This window comes from Homo sapiens, chromosome 14, assembly GCF_000001405.40.
Source record: "Homo sapiens chromosome 14, GRCh38.p14 Primary Assembly".
In the NCBI taxonomy this organism is placed as follows: domain Eukaryota; kingdom Metazoa; phylum Chordata; class Mammalia; order Primates; family Hominidae; genus Homo; species Homo sapiens.
The window spans coordinates 60,981,931-60,999,552 of NC_000014.9; the positions used below are offsets into that span (position 1 = coordinate 60,981,931).

Here is a 17,622-nt window from a genome sequence, read left to right on the forward strand (position 1 = left end):
GACTTTGTTCCCGGTGCTGTTTGTGGGGAGGGGGATGTTTTCAGGGATACTGCCAGAACAACGTGAATTGCTTCTGTTTATAATATTGTCATTGCAAGATATTCCTGACCATCCTTCCAGTTTGGTAGAACTAATTCATTAGATATATAAGTAGAGATTAGTTGTGCAGTCCTAGTAATTGAGGAGAAACAACTGCCCACAGCAGTCCCAGGTTGACTCAGCAATTCTTTAGTAATCACATGAGCTGAGGCCTTATCCCTCCTCTCTCTCCCCACTCCATTCCCATCCTATCTTCATCTCTTGCAGTCACAAGGTTAGTCATGGCCCTTCCTGAACTCTGCCTGTCTTGTGTACTGGTGGAAATCATTTTCCTAAGAAACCCTAGATTCCTGGAGCTGCAGTAGTGGGAGGTGGGAAGGAAAGGAAAGGAAATTAGTGTTGGTTAAGCAACGAGTGTGTCATACAAACCCTGGTGGTTTGCAGCTTTTTTCCATAATCTTTCATTTATGGAATTTCTTTACGAAATTTTAACTTCACCGTCCAAACATTTAACACTACTAAATTTGTGTGCTTACAGGAACTTCACAGACAGCGATCCCCAGGTGTTTCATTTGGTTTATCAGTGTTTAATTTGATGAATGCCATCATGGGAAGTGGCATCCTTGGCTTAGCTTATGTTTTGGCTAATACCGGTGTCTTTGGATTTAGGTGAGTCTTCATATTTTAGCATCAAATTTTTTTTTCCATTTTGATAATATACGGAGAAGTAGAGAGATAGATTCCAGAAGCTGCTATTATACAATTTCTAGTTAGTTATTTCTGGGGTTTTAGCATTTTTCTTGTTATTCTTGTTGCTAGTGTGTACCTTGGAGGGCTACTACATAGCTTCTTAAATACACAGAAGTGTGACTAGTTTTTAAAAATGGGAACTTGATCCACATTTCATTTATAATGAAATATGACACTTAAGAGTGGCATATTCATTGTATCTCCTTGGCCAAAGTGAATCAAAGCCATGCAGATTAACTTCCAAATAGCAATTTTGTGAGTGCAAATACAACACATAATCTTTTCATTCCTCGCTGTCTCTTTGTATTGTTAAGTAGTCTTATTTCACTTTCAGAGGCCAGACATGTGTTTTGTGCCTGTTCTTTTTTATGTTTCAGGACTTAGCTTGTAGGCCAGTTTGCCCAAAATAGAAGACAATCCTGGATATTCTGTGCTTTCATAGTACTTTGTATATTCATTCTGTTATTATAATTGTTACAATGATATGTTTGGAAATTAATGTTCCCACTAAACTGAAATCCTTTACAACTGGAGGTCAAGGCAGGCGGATCACTGGAACCCACGAGTTTGAGACCAACCTGGGCAAGATGGTGAAACCCCATCTCTGCCCAAAATACAAAAATTAGCCTGGTATGGTGGAGTGCGCCTGTAGTCCTAGCTACTTGGGAGGACTGCTTGAGCCTGAGAGGTTGAGGCTGCAGTGAGCCATGATTGGGCTACTGCACTCTAGCCTGGGTGACAGAGTGAGATCCTGTCTAAAAAATTTAAAAAATAGAAAAATCCTTTATAACTGGACCTTATTCTTAGCATCTAGCACCACATGGCTAATAGAATGAATTAACAAATTGGCTTTGTCAGTAGAAGCAGATCTATTTACTAGGAAATTTAAAATGCCTAGGGAGTCTCTTTTATGTTTATTTCCTGCTTTTATTCCAAATTTTTTGATAAGCAAAGCAACTTTTAAGTAACCCAACTTGCTTTTATTATGGAATGTACTCACAAACTTTCATTATTTTTAAAATTAAAAACTATATGTGACACCTTAAGCAAGACATAGTCAGAGGACTTTTTTTTTGATTCTCTTTGAAAAATCATAATTTATGCACCAGGGTCTTACATGCAGATATATACTGCTGAATGTGTGCTCACCCAGTCATAGCAACCATCATTTTTGGTGATGCTAAAGTGTTATTTTGTGAAGTTCCTGATGTCAGTTTAATGACATTTGTACTTTTACCTCTCAATTTTATTTATTAACAAGTATTAACTGGACCACAGAGAGAAAATTTCTTCAATGACTGGGGCAGTTCACTGGGGATAGCTGTATAGAAGCTTGTCCTGCTGGTGTCTTCCTAAAAATGAATAGGAAATTATCTAAGTTTTTTCTTTCACACTGTTGGTGAGAGGACCTCAATCATTACATTGTTTGCACATTTTTCAAATTGCATCATTAGAGGTGTGTTAACTACATTATTTTAATTTAGTTTGGTTTGGAGAGTGTGTGCGTTTAATAGATGCTAGAAAATACAGCCTAAATAAATCTTAAGTACACCTTAATAAGATGAAGGTATGATAAGGAGGTCAATATCACTGGAAGTAGAGGGAGGAAGGGAAAAAGAGAAGACAATGAGATTGCATAAGTAAAACTTCTGTTTAGACTTAAAATAAGAAGAAAACCAGTCATAAAAAGGAAATATTACAAGATTATTTAATGGCTGATTCAGCAGTCAGCAGACAAGACTGCAAAATGAGGAAGTTTGCTTGTATTTTTAAAAAAGTTTGGTTTTTATTTTTTTTTATTTTAAAATCAGTATATTTTCATTTAAATAAAATTGGTAAATACAAAAAAGTAGAAAAGTATCTTCTTAATTTCCTTAATGAACATAATTCTGCTACTCAGAGATAGTTCCTGTGAATATTTGACTGTTAAGCAATTTGTTTTTGTAATGAGACACCATACAAAAGACAAACTTTTGGGAGGTTTTGACCAGGTGTTCTTTTATGTTTTAGCTTCTTGCTGCTGACAGTTGCTCTCCTGGCTTCTTACTCAGTCCATCTTCTGCTTAGTATGTGTATTCAGACAGGTGAGTAAAAATGTTATGCTGCTTCATTTAATAAAGGAGTCTCTTGAGTTTGTATCTACATATAGAACTGGATGTCTCAAATCTAATATCCAGTGAGCATACATTTTTATTAGATAGGGTGATCGGAATGGAGAATTTGAAAAACCAGGATATACAGACCCAATACTGTGGGGGAATATCCAAGCACAGGATGGGAGGAGGTAATTAGCATTTTTACCTGCTTTCCTCCACAACACAACCTAATTTTCTGGAGTAGAGTAGATCATGGGAGGGTCTAAAAGGTGTTCAAAGGATCCAAACCTTATGCTTATGGAGAAATCATTTTCTCAAGGAGAGAACACCTTCTCAGAGCTACTGTTGCCTTCCCTGCCCCCATCTGCCTGCTAGTCAGAGGTAGGGATGGCAGAATTAGGATTGTAGGAAGTAAGGTCACAAAGCTTTAATTTATTTAGACACATTTTGTATTTTTAATTGCAAGTCTAGAATAGGGTAGTTTTTTCCTAAGAGAAATAAGTATGTGCAGTTAATTCAATATATTTGTGTATATACTTTTTCCCATTTGGAATTTTATTATGCAATTCAGTCATGTATTGAATAAGTTCTTTTAGGATCCAGTAAATAAAAGTATATGAATTATAGAAGTGCTTTTCTAAGATTTTCCTTTTGTCATTAACAAATATTCTATGTTCATCAGTCCTGGTCTTTTTATCTGTCTAGTCTCTTTTGTCTTTGGATTAGGTCAGCTTTGATGCCAAAATCATGGGTTTAATTCTTATATGGATGAGTTCGTTTTGCTTTATCTGGCCTTGTGATGTTCAGATTTTAAGAAGAAAAGTAGATACACAAAATAGATAAAAATGGATTTCTTAATTCATTTAGTGTTTCTATAAAAGAATACCTGAGGCTGCATAATTTATAAATAAAAGAGGTTTATTTTGCTCATAGTTCTACAGGCTCTGCAAGAAGCATGGCCCTTCTTATGAGGGGCTTTTCTGCTCCATCTGCATCTAGTAAGGGGCTCAGGCTGCTTTCATTCATTGTGGAAGGTGAAGGGGAGCTAGGATATGCAGAGATCACATGGCAAGAGAGGAAGCGAGAGAGGAGGGGCATGCCAGGTTCTTTTTAACAACCAGCTCTCATGAAACTAATAAAAGTGAAAACTCACTCATTACCCCAAGGAAGGCACCAAGCCATTCATGAGGGATCTGGCCCCAGGGCCCAAACACCTCCCCTTTGGCCCTACCTCCAACACTGGGGATCTGATTTCAACATGAGATTTGGAGGGGTCTGACAAACCAAACTATATCAGTGAGACTATTCTGTGCTGAAACAGGTGAGTGAAGCCCAGTGATGTTTCTTAAGAATTTTAAGACTCTTCAGAATAATTCTGAAGCCACTGCTCTAGTTTGTTTTCCTAAAACCTGTCCATCATCAGAAATACTCATAGATCTTTTTATACACAGAGAGCTCTAAGCCTCAGGGATTCTAATTTCAAAAATCTGAGGTGAGACTCAAGAATATGTTTTTAACAAGGCAAAACCAGTTTAGGATCCATAGTTTATAGCTCTAACTTGTACCAGTGCTTTGGCCAGCCAGTGCCAGATATGTTTTTAACAAGTCCTCCAAGTGATTCTTATGCAAATCTAGTTTAGGATTCATAGTTTATAGCCACAACTTCTAACAGTGCTTTGGCCATCCAGTGCACGCCTTTGCTCTCAAGGGGCTTGGGTGAATGTGCAGACAGATGAAAATACTAGGAAGCAGTACAAATATTAATCCTAAAGTAACAGGTTGTTCATAAAAGCATCCTGAATTTAGGAATAATAGCTTTAGATAAATATATTTGTAAATCCTGCTGAAACTTGAATTTTAATTGCATGTATTGAAATTTTGCTGAATGTGAAAAAAATTTTACTTAATTGTGATACTTTAACATCTTGGTAGATTCTTTCAATTCATTCTGTTAAAAGATTAATACTTTAGTCAACTATGTGGCAATTATGTCTTTCAAGCTTCATTTTAAAACTTCATTTTAGTTTTAATTTAAGTAAAATGTTTTATTTCGGTTATGTGGGAGTAGTATTCAGTGTGTGGAGATTTCTAAGTAATTTTAATTTTTTACTCCTTCGGTTCACATGTATTTAACTTTAAGATTCTGACACTGTGTTTGTTCTTTTCTGTAACTCTGGGGCGTATGAAGTGAATATATCTGTTTCTCTTCTTTTTTCTTTTTCTTTGATTTCTGTAGCCTACTTGGGCCCATGAACTAACTACTTCATGGTTCTGCCTGCACATTGACTCACCTGTCTTCCGTTGATTGAATTCCTTCAATCTTTGTAAAATTCTCTGTGGAGGTAGGCTTTTCCTTTTTTTTTTTTTTTTCAATACATACATTCATATATAAAGACTAGAGTATAATACGTAACTAACTCTCTCCCAACAGTTTGTTGGACTGTCATAAAGGATTATTATGCTCAGATTGAATTCATTGGTAAGAGAAAGAGCTATCATGAGTTTTTATGAAATAACTTCTTCATTTATTTGCTGGTGGTAAAGGGTAAAGAGAAATTTTCATCTTTATAAAAGTAAAGGATTTCTTCACATGAAATTCTACTTTAGATTTTATGGAGCGTTTGGGGTCTATCAGGACTTTTCATGGGAGCTGAGGTGGAATGTAAAGAACCTTATTCTCTCTAGCCTTCGTTTGTCATCTGTAAAATGGCAATGATAACACTTCCTTCTTGGAATTGTTCTGAGAGTGAAATAAAATAATGTATATGAAATGTCAAGTCCTTGGCAAATGAGTGCTCCCTGGGGCAAAAATGCCCACTGGGGCAAAAATCCCTAAAGATTGCAGGGTGTTGTACACACTACTATCTCAGAAATAGTTGGTTCGTTGCCATTCTTTTGGAATACTTCTCATGCTCTGATACTAAACCCACAGCTCCCCTCCACTGGCTTCCATGTCACTGTCAACTGGAGAGAGTGAGAGTCCTAGAACTCTGCATACCTCTGGCCGAACCACAACTCCCTAGTCGTTGATCCCTACTACTCACTGGATTGTCACCATTATTTGCCTTGAGACCATTTGGATTATGACATTATACCATCTATCTCAATTTGTGTTAGTCATTTCAAGTATATTAGGTTATCTTTCATTTCTCAGACTCATCCCATATGGCTGTCATCTGTTTCTGACCTCGTCTTCCACTGCTCTCTAACTCCTGAAACCCTTCCACTGTGCTCTCTGGAACTCACAGTCAATCATCAGCAAAACTCACATGTCTCTAATTCTCTTCTGAACATTTCTGTCTGTTTCTTACACTACGAGAACCTCCTCTGAGGCTTCCCTGTAGTTCTCTCAAGTGGTCAGTCTTTTCTCTTTATGTCTCTCATACTAATTTGAAGATGGTATAGGTGTCCTGTTTGTCCCACATTTCTGCTTCTCAACCATCTTCCTCTCCTTGAACCCCCCAGCTTTTAATCTCATGAATGTATACCATCTACGGCTCTCCTTACTATTGTCATCTATAGACTCCTAGACCATTTCCTGTCATTTCATGAAAGTTTTAGCTAAATTTTAGCTTCTACTCACCTTTTAGTTCTCTTCAGTATTACCCCTGTTATAATTCTGGATGATTTCAATATGCATGTAGCTAATCCTTCTAATGCTTTCAGTTCCTGAACCTCTTCTTCTCTAATGATCATATTCTCTACCTACACTGGCCACTTATTTTCTCCTATGGTCATACCACTGATCTTGTCATTACCAAAATAGCATTTGTTAGTATCTGCCCATCTGCCACCACCATCTCCTTTGTTTCTAACTCACCCTCTCAAGTACTTCAACTCTGACAGTTTTCACCCCTACCAAGACTTCTATCAATTCATTGATTCTACCACCTTTGCACTGACCCCCCACACTCATTCTTACTTCCCTCTTTATCCAGTTGAGGTTTTGTAGTATGTTATTTAATCCCTTGCCTATCCCTTGAACCATCATATTTCCCTGGTAAAATTCCAACCATAGTTAAATATAACTCTGCCTGCTTCACATTTGCACCCATGCATTTGAATCTTCCTGAGGAAAAGCACAACCATGCAGACTGATATCACTATAATTCAACGTCTAGTGTACCTATGATGCTATCACACAATTCTGGTTCACTTCTTTGGTTCATCACTTCATTTAGCTCATTCATCTGCTATCTAGGAGATTGCTTTTTTATATCTTCTCCTGTCAAACCTTCGACACTTTTTTCTTTGATTTCACCCATAACTGATATTCTTCGCTTTCTGTTTCACTGAAAAAATAGAAGCAATCATAAAAGAATTTTATAAGCTCTTGCCACCACTTATTTATCTGTGCCTATATACTCTGTTCCTTGGGATGAATTCTTTGTGTTTATTTCTAAGGCCTACCCCCCAACTTGTGCTATGATCCCACCTGCTCTTGCCTACATCACTCCAGCCACTTTCTCCCTTCTTTCTTATTTCTTGGCCCTTTTCTACCATTTCCTTCCTATCATTTTACAAATAGTCTAATTTCTGTCATCATAAAAATCTCTTTTACTTTGCATCTTTTGAATATGCCTCATGTCTTCATGACAGCACTCCTTAAAATAATTGTCTAAACCAGGCCAGGTGTGGTGTCTCATGCCCGTAATCCTAGCACTTCGGGAGGCAGACCCAGGAGGATCACTTGAAGTCAGGAGTTTGAGACCAGCCTGGGCAACATGGTGAAACCCCATCTCTACAAAAAAAAATACAAAAATTTGTGTGAGGTGACATGAGCCTGTAGTCCTAGCTACTGGGGCAGCTGAGGCAGGAGAATCACTTGAGCCAGGGAGGCAGAGGTTGCAGTGAGCTGAGATCATGCTGTTGCACTTCAGCCTGGGGGACGGGAGTGAAACCCTGTCTCCAAAAAGAAAAAGAATTATCTAAACCAGATGTCTCCAGTTCCTCTCCTCCCACTCCTATCAGGCTTTTCCACTGAAACTGTTGTAGCAGTGACTTCCACATTGCTAAATCCAATGATCAGTTCTCAGTCAGCAGCATGTGACAGAGCTGATAACTCCTTGCTCTCTGAAAGACAAGTCACGCTTTCCTAGTTCTTCCTGTTTCATCAAACACTCCTTTTCTCTTCTGTTGAATTCTCTTAATCTCCCCATCCTCTAAACATTGGTGTACCCCTGGGACTATTCCTCTGATCTCTTTTCTTTTCCCTTCTTTTCTTTTTTTTTTGAGACAGAGTCTCACTCTGTCACCCAGGCTGGAATGCAATGGTGTGATTTTGGCTCACTGTAACCTCCGTCCTGCAGGGTTCAAGCGATTCTCCTGCCTCAGCCGTCTGAGTAGGTGGGATTATAGATGTGTGCCACCACACCCAGATAAGTTTTGTATTTTTAGTAGAAACAGGGTTTTGCCATGTTGGCCAGGCTGGTCTCAAACTTCTGGCTTCAAGTGATCCACCCACCTTGTCCTCCCAAAGTGCTGGGATTACAGGTGTGAGTGATCTCTTTTCTTTTACACTCATTATCGGGCTCATGGTGATTCTGAAATTTATATCCCTGGCCTGGAACTCTCCCCTGAATTTCAGTCTCATCTCCAGCTGCCTCCGTGACATCTCCACTTGGATGTCTAACAGCTCAGATTTGTAAAACTCCCCATCTTTATACTACCAATCTACACTTTCTACTGTTCCCATCTAAGTAAATGGTAATGTCTTTCTTCTAATTGCTTAGGCCAAAGATCTTTAAGTTATTCTGTATCTCCCCTTTTTCCCCTCATCCTGCATGTTCAGTCCATGCCATACTGTTCCCTTCACTTCAAAAAAAATTTTTTTTCGAGATAGTGTCTTGCTGTGTGGCCCAGGCTGGAATGTAGTGGCGTGAACATAGCTCACTGCAGCCTCGACCTCCTGCCTCAGCCTCCCGGGTAGCTGGTAATCACAGGCACACATCACCATGCACGTCACCACACCTAACTAACCTCAGCCTCCTGAGCAGCTGGTACTACAGGCTATGTGCGTCACCACACCTGGCTCATTTTTTAATTTTTTGCAGAGATGGGCTCTTACCACGATGCCTAGGCTGTTTTCCAACACCAGCTCAAGCAATCCTCCTGCCTTGACCTCCCAGAGTGCTTGGGATTACAGGCATGAGCCATCGTGCCTGGCCAAAAAATTAATAATCTGATAATTTTCTCATTTAATTGCTACCACCCATCTTCAGTTACTATTACCACCATCAAAAGTAATAGTTTATCTTTTTGTTTTTACTTCCACTCTTACTTCCTGCAGTCTATTCTTAACAAAACAACCATAATGATCTGTTAATGTAAGTTAGGTCATAGCATTCCTTTGCTCAAAATCCTCCAGTTGCTTCCCAGTTCAATCAAAGTAAAAGCAAAAATCATTACAAAGTCCAACACAAGTCTTCTGCCCTTTTTATCTCCTTGATTTATCTTCCAGTACTCCCTCACTGGTTTCAGTCACACTTTTAATTTTTATCTTATGTAACATATACTTATATAGCACTTAGCATCATTCTAAGGACTTTATGAATATGAATATTCATTTAATCTTCATAATAATATTATGAGGTACGTATCAATATTATTTCCATTTTTTGAAATGAGGTAACTGTGGCACAGAGAGGTTAAAGTAACTTGTCCAAGAGAGGTGAAAGTAACTTCCCAGTTAGGAAGTATAGGAGCCAGGATTCAAACCCACACAGTCTGGCTCTAAAATTGTGCTCACTCTTCCCCAGTCGTGCTGGGTAGTCTCCTGCTTCCATACCTTTGTGCTTTCTGTGCTCTTCTTGGACGTTTCTTCCCCCAGTTTCCCACATGACTTTGCTCACTCATCACCTTCAAGGCTTTGACAAATCTTACCTCTTCTGTGAGGTCTTTTTATACAATCTCATTTAAAATTACAAACAGCAACGGTTGATCTACAGTGTCATCAAGGAAGGAGGATCTACCTTTCTGTTCCATTATTCTTGTGTGTGCCTTCCCCATCCTTGAGGTCTAGGACGACTTGTGGAGTGCAGACATCGCATCCGTGTTCTAGAGAGCAGAAAGAGAGAAAGGGATGCCTACCAGCTGAATCTCACTTAAGACTCCATTTTCTTGTTGCCAGAACTTAATATGCCCGATGGCCATACTAAATTGCATAGGGACCTAGAAAATGTAGCGTTTATTAAAGGTGGCAATGAGCCCAACTAAAAGTCAGGGTTCTGTTACTCAGGTAGAAGAAGGGAAGAGACAACCAGCAGTCTCTACCCCACCAGGGTTCCATCTTTATCCGTACTTGTACTTTACTATCTTTGAATAACATTATAAACTTTTATAGCTTAGCTACCAAAAATAGGTTGACGACTCTCATCCATGCTGCCGAAACATATCAGCTACCTCTGATATTGGAGATCTCCATTTAGATGTTCCAGAGGCTTTGTGAGCTCAACGTGTTTAAAATTAAACTTATCTTTCATCTTTAATGGCTCAAATGTGCTCCTCTTCCTGTACCGTACCTCCGTGAATGGTACCACCAGTTTATATCTCCTTCACCTCGTACATTCACCCAGTTATAAATTAATTTTGTAAATATTTCTCGGATCTGCCTAATTCTCCTTCCTTATTGCTACTGTGTAGATCACGCCATAACCCCTCCCCAGGATTACAGTAGAGTTAAATCATAACAGGTATTTAAGTTCATGTCATTTTAATTCATACAGTTCAAAAGTGGGGAAGAAAATAACTTTAAATAGTGCTGGGTAATCCTGCCTGTATTCTACTCAGTGAACATATATTCATCTGGGGACTGAGTGTGAGGTGGGAAATATAATAATGTTGCTCCCTCTGTTATATTTTTTTTCTTTAAAGATAACTTTTTTTTTTTTAAGACAAAGTCTCGCTCTGTTGTCCAGGATGGAGTGCAGTGGCGCGATCTAGCCAAACCGCAACCTCCGCCTCCTGGGTTCAAGCAATTCTCATGTCTCAGCCCTCTGGCATCTTAAGAGACTTCCTATGAGTTCCTGCCTCCAAACTTTTTTTTTTTTTTTTGAGGCAGTCTTGCTCTGTCGCCCAGGCTGGAATGCAGTGGTGGATCTTTGCTCGCTGCAACCTCTGCCTCCCGGGTTCAAGTGATTCTCCTGCCTCAGCCTCCCAAGTAGCTGGGATTACAGGCACCCACCACCACATCCGGCTGATTTTTGTATTTTTTAGTAGAGACGGGGTTTTACAGCGTTGGCCAGGCTGGTATAGAACTCCTGACTTCAGGTGATCTGCCCACCTCGGCCTCCCAAACGGTTGGGATTACAGGCGTGAGCCACCGCACCTGGCCAGATAACATTTTTTAGCATACTGTCTTCATGGTGCTGTTTTAAGAGATTTGCATGTATTATTCTCACAATAGCAATGTGAGGTAGAAATTGTTACATCCACTTTAGAGATAGGAAACTGAGGCACTGAGTGATTAACTAGCTTGCTTAAGGTTGCACAGCTAGCTAGTTAGAAGAGCTAATATTCGATTTAGGCAAGCTAACTCCAGAGTCCACTTTCATAACACTGTGCTGCCATTTCCCCACTATTATAGGAACCTGGAAGCTTATTTTCTGGAGAAGGTAAACTAAAAGGACTCAGCAATCATAGATATTAGGTGTAGTTAAGGCCAAGATCACCTTACTGAAAACAGGGAGATTAAGTGAAAGTCTACTAACTGAAGGAGAGTCCCAGTTAGTAGGAGTTCTGAGACTGCTGGCAGCAAGTCTTCTACTTTCACTTAAGGGATTGGAGGAATATTTTCAACAGAATTTCTCCTGCCCAAGAGAAAAGACCTACAGGTAAAAATAGTTGAGGGCCCTTCAAGAAAGAGCTGAGTACCTCCTGTTTAATCATCATATAGTTAAGCATACCACTCAATAAGCCTCTTCTGTGTACACAGAGCTTGTATTTAGTCTTTTAATGCATCACACTTACGTCAAGAAATAGCCAAGTATCACCAGATATTTCAGGAAAACCTTTAATGTGAAAGATATATACTAAAACAGCCACATACACACACACAAGCCAATAATGAGATACCTCTACACATGTATTAGAATGACAAAAATCTGAAACACTGACAATACCAAATACTGGCGAGGATGTGGGACAACAGGAACTCTCATTCATTGCTGGTGGGAATAAGAAATGGTACAGCTACTTTGGAATACAGTTTGGCAGTTTTTTAACCAAACTAAATATAATCTCATCATAGGATCCATCAGTAGTGCTCCTTGGTATTTACCCAAATGAGTTCAAGACATATTTCTACACAAAAACCTCCATAAAGATGTTAATAACAGCCTTATATTTACCAAAATCTGGAAGCAACTAAAATGTTCCTCAGAAGTGAAAGAATTTTAAAAACTGATATATTTGTACAATGGGATATTATTCAGCACTAAGTAGAAATGAGGTGCCGGAGCCTTGGCTCACGCCTGTAATCCCAGCACTTTGGGAGGCCAAGGCGGGCGGATCACCTGAGGTTGGGAGATCGAGACCAACCTGACCAACATGGGGAAACCCTGTCTCTACTAAAAATACAAAATTACCTGGGCGTGGTGCTGCATGCCTGTAATCCCAGCTACTCAGGAGGCTGAGGCAGGAGAATCGCTTGAACCCGGGAGTTGGAGGTTGCGGTGAGCTGAGATCAAGCCATTGCACTCCAGCCTGAGCAACAAGAGCAAAACTCCGTCTCAGAAAAAAATTAGCTGGGCATGATGGCGGGCACCTGTAATCCCAGCTAGTTGGGAGGCTGAAGCAGGAGAATCGCTTGAACCCCGGAGGCGGAGACTGCAGTGAGCTGAGATCATGCCATTGCACTCCAGCCTGGGCGACAAGAGCAAAACCTCGTCTCAAAAAAAAAAAAAAAAATACCCAGCATGGTGGCTCACGCCTGTACTCCCAGCACTTTGGGAGGCCGAGGTGGGCGGATCACCTGAGGTCAGGAGATCAAGACCAGCCTGGCCAACATGGTGAAACCCCGTCTCTACTAAAAATACAAAAATTAGCCAAGTGTGGTGACACACACCTGTAATCCCAGCTACTTGGGAGGCTGAGGCAGGAGAATCACTTCAACCCAGGTGATGGAGGTTGCAGTGAGCTGAAATCGTGCCACTGCACTCCAGCCTGGGCGACAGAGCAAGACTCCATCTCAAAAAAAAAAAAAAAAAAAAAAGAAGAAGAAATGAGGCATCAAGCCATGAAAAGTCATGGAGGAATCTTAAATGTATACTGTCAAGTGAAAGAAACCATGTGATCCAGCAATTCCTCTTCTGGGTTTATACCCAAAGGAAATGAAATTGGTACCTTGTAGAGATATCTATGCTCCCATGTTCATTGCAGCATTATTAACGATAGCCAAGTTAGAGAAACAACCTAAGTGTCAGTAAGTGAGTATATAAAAAATTGTGATATGTACGTACAGTGCAATATTGTTCAGACTTAAGGAGATCCTGCCATTTTCAACAACATGCATAGACATGGAGAACATTATGCTAAATGAAATGAGCCAGACACAGAAGGAAAAATACTGCATGATCTCACATTCATGTGGAATCTAAAAAAGTCAAATACATATGAACAGAGTAGAACAGTGGTTATGTGGGGGATGGGAAGATGTTCATCAAAGGGTATAAAGTTGCAGTTATGTAGAATGAATAAGTCTACAGAGCTAATGTACAGCATGATGACTATATGTAATATTGTTTACTGAAAATTTGCCAAGAGAGTAGATTTCAGGTGCTTTTACCACAAGGAAGGAAGAAAGGGAGGAGGAAGGGCAAGAGGGAAGGAAGGGAGGGAGGAAAGAAAAGATAACTGTGAGAGGGTAGATACGTTAATTTGCTTGACTCTAGTAATCATTTCTCTGTGTATATCAAAACATCATGTTGTACACCTTAAATGTATATAATAAAACAAAAAAATCTGAAAAGGCTACATACTGTATGATTCCAAGTATGTGACATTCTGGAAAAGGCAAAACTATGCAGAAAATAAAAAAGATCAGTGGTTGCCAGAGTTTAGCAGAGGGAGCGTGAATAGGCAGAGCACCCTCACCTTTAGGACAGTGAAATGAATCTGTATGATACTATAAAGTGGACACGTGTCATTATATATTTGTCAAAACCCATAGAATGTACAGCACTAAAAGTGAACCCTATAATGTAAATTATGGACTTTGTGTGATAATGACATGTTAATATAGATACATTGATTGTAACAAATGTACCACTCTGGTGCAGGATGTTGATTGTAGGGGAAGCTGTGCATGTGTTGGGGGCAGGAGGTATATGGGAACTCTGTACTTTCTGTTCAACTTTGTTGTGAACCTAAAACTGCTCCTAAAATTATTAAAGAAAACACAAGGAAAGAAACAGACTCAGAGGAAAAGAGGAAACAGACAATACAAGACCAGATGAAAACTTAAAAAGCTACATTTAATAACTTTAGAGAACTAAAAGAAGATCCTGCATTCTTGAAACAAAAATAAGGAATTATAAAAAGGGTATATTCAGAAAACCAAAAGTCCTAGAAGTCAAAATTAGTTCAATTGTTGGGTTGGGAGAGTTACAGAAGTTTCCTGGGGGTGGAAAAAAAGAGAAAGCTTGAAAATGGGAGAGAAAAGATAAGAAAATTAGAAGATCAGTCCAGGAAGTCCAACATGCAAATAATAGAAATTCTGCAACAAGAAAAAAGTAAAAGGGATGGTAGAAAATTATTAACAAAATAATACAAAAATTGATGTAACTGAAGGAAATTAGTTTCAAGATTAAAAGTTTTCCTCCCGGTATCCAGTATAATACTTGTAAGATAATTGTTACCCAAGACATACTGTGAATGATCAGAAATCCAGTTATATAGATAATATTCTAAAAGCTTACAGAGAGAAGGAACAAACAACACAAAAAAAATTCCTGCAAAGAATCAAGAACCACAGTAGTGAAAGTCTTCCTAGGAGCAATACTGTAAACTAGATGACTATAAAACAATGCCTTCAAAATTCCTGGGGGGAAATGATTTTAATATAGAATTCTATAACTAGCCAAACTGTTGCTTAAGTGTGAAGTTTGAACAATGACATTTTCATATATACAAGGTCTCAAAAATTTTTATTCACCCTTACTTAGTGAACAATAGAGTATACCCTTTACCAAAGTTAGAGAGTAACAAAGAAACAAGGAATCAGGCACAGGAAAGAAGTGGAGGGAATTCCCAGGACATAACTAAGCAGCAGATCTAAGCACCATCTACAGATTGGAGTTGTGAGGTTTTTTGTGGTTTTGGGAGGGGGTGTTTAGATGGGATCTCACTCTGCTGCCCAGGCTGGAGTGCAGTGGTGTAATCTTGGCTCACTGCAACCTCCACCTCCCAGGCTCAAGTGATCCTCCCACCTCAGCCTCCTGAGTAGCTTCCCACCTCAGCCTCCTGAGTAGCTGGGACTACAGGTGTGCACCACCACACCTGGCTAATTTTTGTACTTTTTGTAGAGATGGGGTTTCACCATGTTGGTCAGGCTGATCTGAAACTCCTAAGCTCCAGCGATTTGCCCACCTCAGCTTCCCAAAGTACTGGGATTATAGATGTGAGCCACTGCCTGGCTGGAGTTGTTCTTTTCACAAAGGCACAGTCCTCGCTCCAGGTCATGCCTGCCCTCTGGATTGTGTTCAGGATGGAAACTCTTTTCTTATTCCTCTGAGTAAAGGGATTGTCTTTCTCATTTGTCGGTCTAACTCTTAATTTGTGTTAACAGTGCTTGAGTAGATTAGCAGTCAGGCCGGGCTGTTAAAAAAGTCAGAATAAAATAGGGATTGAACCAAGGTAGTAATAAGGTGAATAAAAGAAAGAAACAGGTTAACAAATGGTGGGGTGCAGCAGAGTTCCAGTTGAGAGGAGCTGATATCTGAGTAAATGTGGACAATAAAGGAGAAGTAGATGTCTGGTGTATCTCCCAGGTTTCCGGCTTGAGCCACTGGATTAATGATAGTGTCATCAATGAAGATAGGAACACAGTAGGAGGAGGTTGTTCAAAATAAAAATGAGTTCAGTTTTAGACTTATATGTAGGTGGACAAGGCTTAGAACTGAAGCACAGGCTAGAAATTCATTCATTCAATACTCTTGTCTACTAATAAGAAAGAGATAAATAAGAGCCAGTTACTTCCCTGAAAAAGCTCATAGTCTAATAGGGGAAACAAATACATAAGCAAATAATTTATATCTAGTATGATAAATTTAACAGTTTAAATATGTATAAGGCATAGTGATATCTTAGAAGAGAGAGTGACTTTGATATGGGCAGGAGGCAGGGAAATACTGGGTAGAAGAGGGTGGTTCCCCAGCAAAGGCCCCCACCCCCCAAGCCTGGAAACCCATGGCCCTAATTGGGAACAGGCATTTCTGTTTTCATGTCCAAATGTTGCCTTCTGCCTGCCATCCCCGCATCCTGTACCCATATAAACCCCAAATTCCAGGTCCACAGGCAGGAGAGCAGACAAACAGAGGAGCAGAAGAGGAGCACAGTAAAGGAGAGAAGAGAAGGAGTGTTTGAACGTCAAGGAGAGGTCGGTTGGGGACAGCTGGAGAGGAGATTGGCCATGGGACAGCAGAACTCCAGGGGAAGATCATCTTCCCACTCCATCCCCTTTCCAGCTCCCCATCCATCTCACTGAGAGCCACCTCCATCACCTAATACAATTCCCACATTCACCATCCTTCAAATCCGTCTGTGACCTGATTCTTCCTGGACACAGGAAAAGAATCTGGGTACGAAGAGGGCACTGGGCTGGTTAATACTTAAGCAATCTGTGGAAGGCAGAGCTAAAAGAGCACTGTAGCATGCCCACTGGGGCTTCAGGAGTTGCAGGCATGTATTCCTAGATGCTGCTGTGGGGCTGGAGCCCAAAAGCGCTCTCCCCGCCCCCTACACCTGCCGGTCTGCGAGCTCCGCCTCCTGTAAGGGGTTTGAGAGTGCAGCAGCCGAACAGAACAGACAAGCCACAGCCCTGTCGCAGGCCCTGCCCTTCGTGGGGGATCAGGGGACTCTCCCGTTTCAACTTTCCCTTAGTTGGAGGGTGAGGGTCAGTAAATGTTCATGGACAACTAAGCTGAAAAGGAATTTGACTAGCAGACAAGGCAAGAGAGAATATTCCAGCATGTGCAAGGATACAAAGCCATATACTACCTATTGTATTCAAAGTACCAAAAATAGTTTACTGTTATTAGTAGTACATAAAGTACAAAGGAGAAAATTAAACTGGAGAGTTAGACAAGTCTCAGATCCCAAGGAATTTGTAGTTTTTGCTGAAGCAGTGAGAAGCCACTGAGGTTGTTGAAAAAGAGTCAAAGTAGATACTGGAATCCACTGTTGGTTGCTTCCAAAAAGAATTTTGGTCCTTTCTAGTGCCCAGAACATAATCTCTTTCTCTGGCAAAGAAAACGTAGTCTTCTGTCTTCCTTTTCCTAAAGAAGGTTACAATTATTTTATGAAGATTGTAATTTTGAGTAATGATAATGGAATAAAGAAGGAGTGAAATGGCCTTTGTGTGCTCCTCATTTTTTTTCTTTTTTAAGGCAAAAAGGTTTTAAAACCCTCTGGAGCACTGATTCTGAATACCTTCTTTTTATAACATTTTCTAAATGCTCCCTTTACTATATGAAATGAAATTCCCATAGGTATTATACCCTACTGCAGTGAGCTGAGTAAT

The 17,622-nt window shown here is 39.9% G+C and overlaps 1 protein-coding gene across 22 annotated transcripts in view; it reads left to right on the plus strand.

The window, feature by feature from the left end:
* SLC38A6 (solute carrier family 38 member 6) overlaps positions 1-17,622 on the plus strand; it is a 102,489-nt gene that overhangs the window by 686 nt on the left and 84,181 nt on the right. For 21 of the 22 annotated variants that reach the window (NR_033344.2, XR_007063987.1, XR_007063988.1 and 18 more), the window contains exons 2-3: positions 578-708; positions 2,800-2,873. Coding sequence is in view for 17 of the 22 variants with exons in the window: in XM_017021022.2 (XP_016876511.1) it covers positions 578-708; positions 2,800-2,873 (205 nt within the window). In the remaining 5 variants the exon portion in view is untranslated. Of the gene's footprint in view, positions 1-577; positions 709-2,794; positions 2,874-5,121; positions 5,228-17,622 lie in introns of those variants that run through there. The other variant, XM_047431007.1, reaches the window with a different exon arrangement.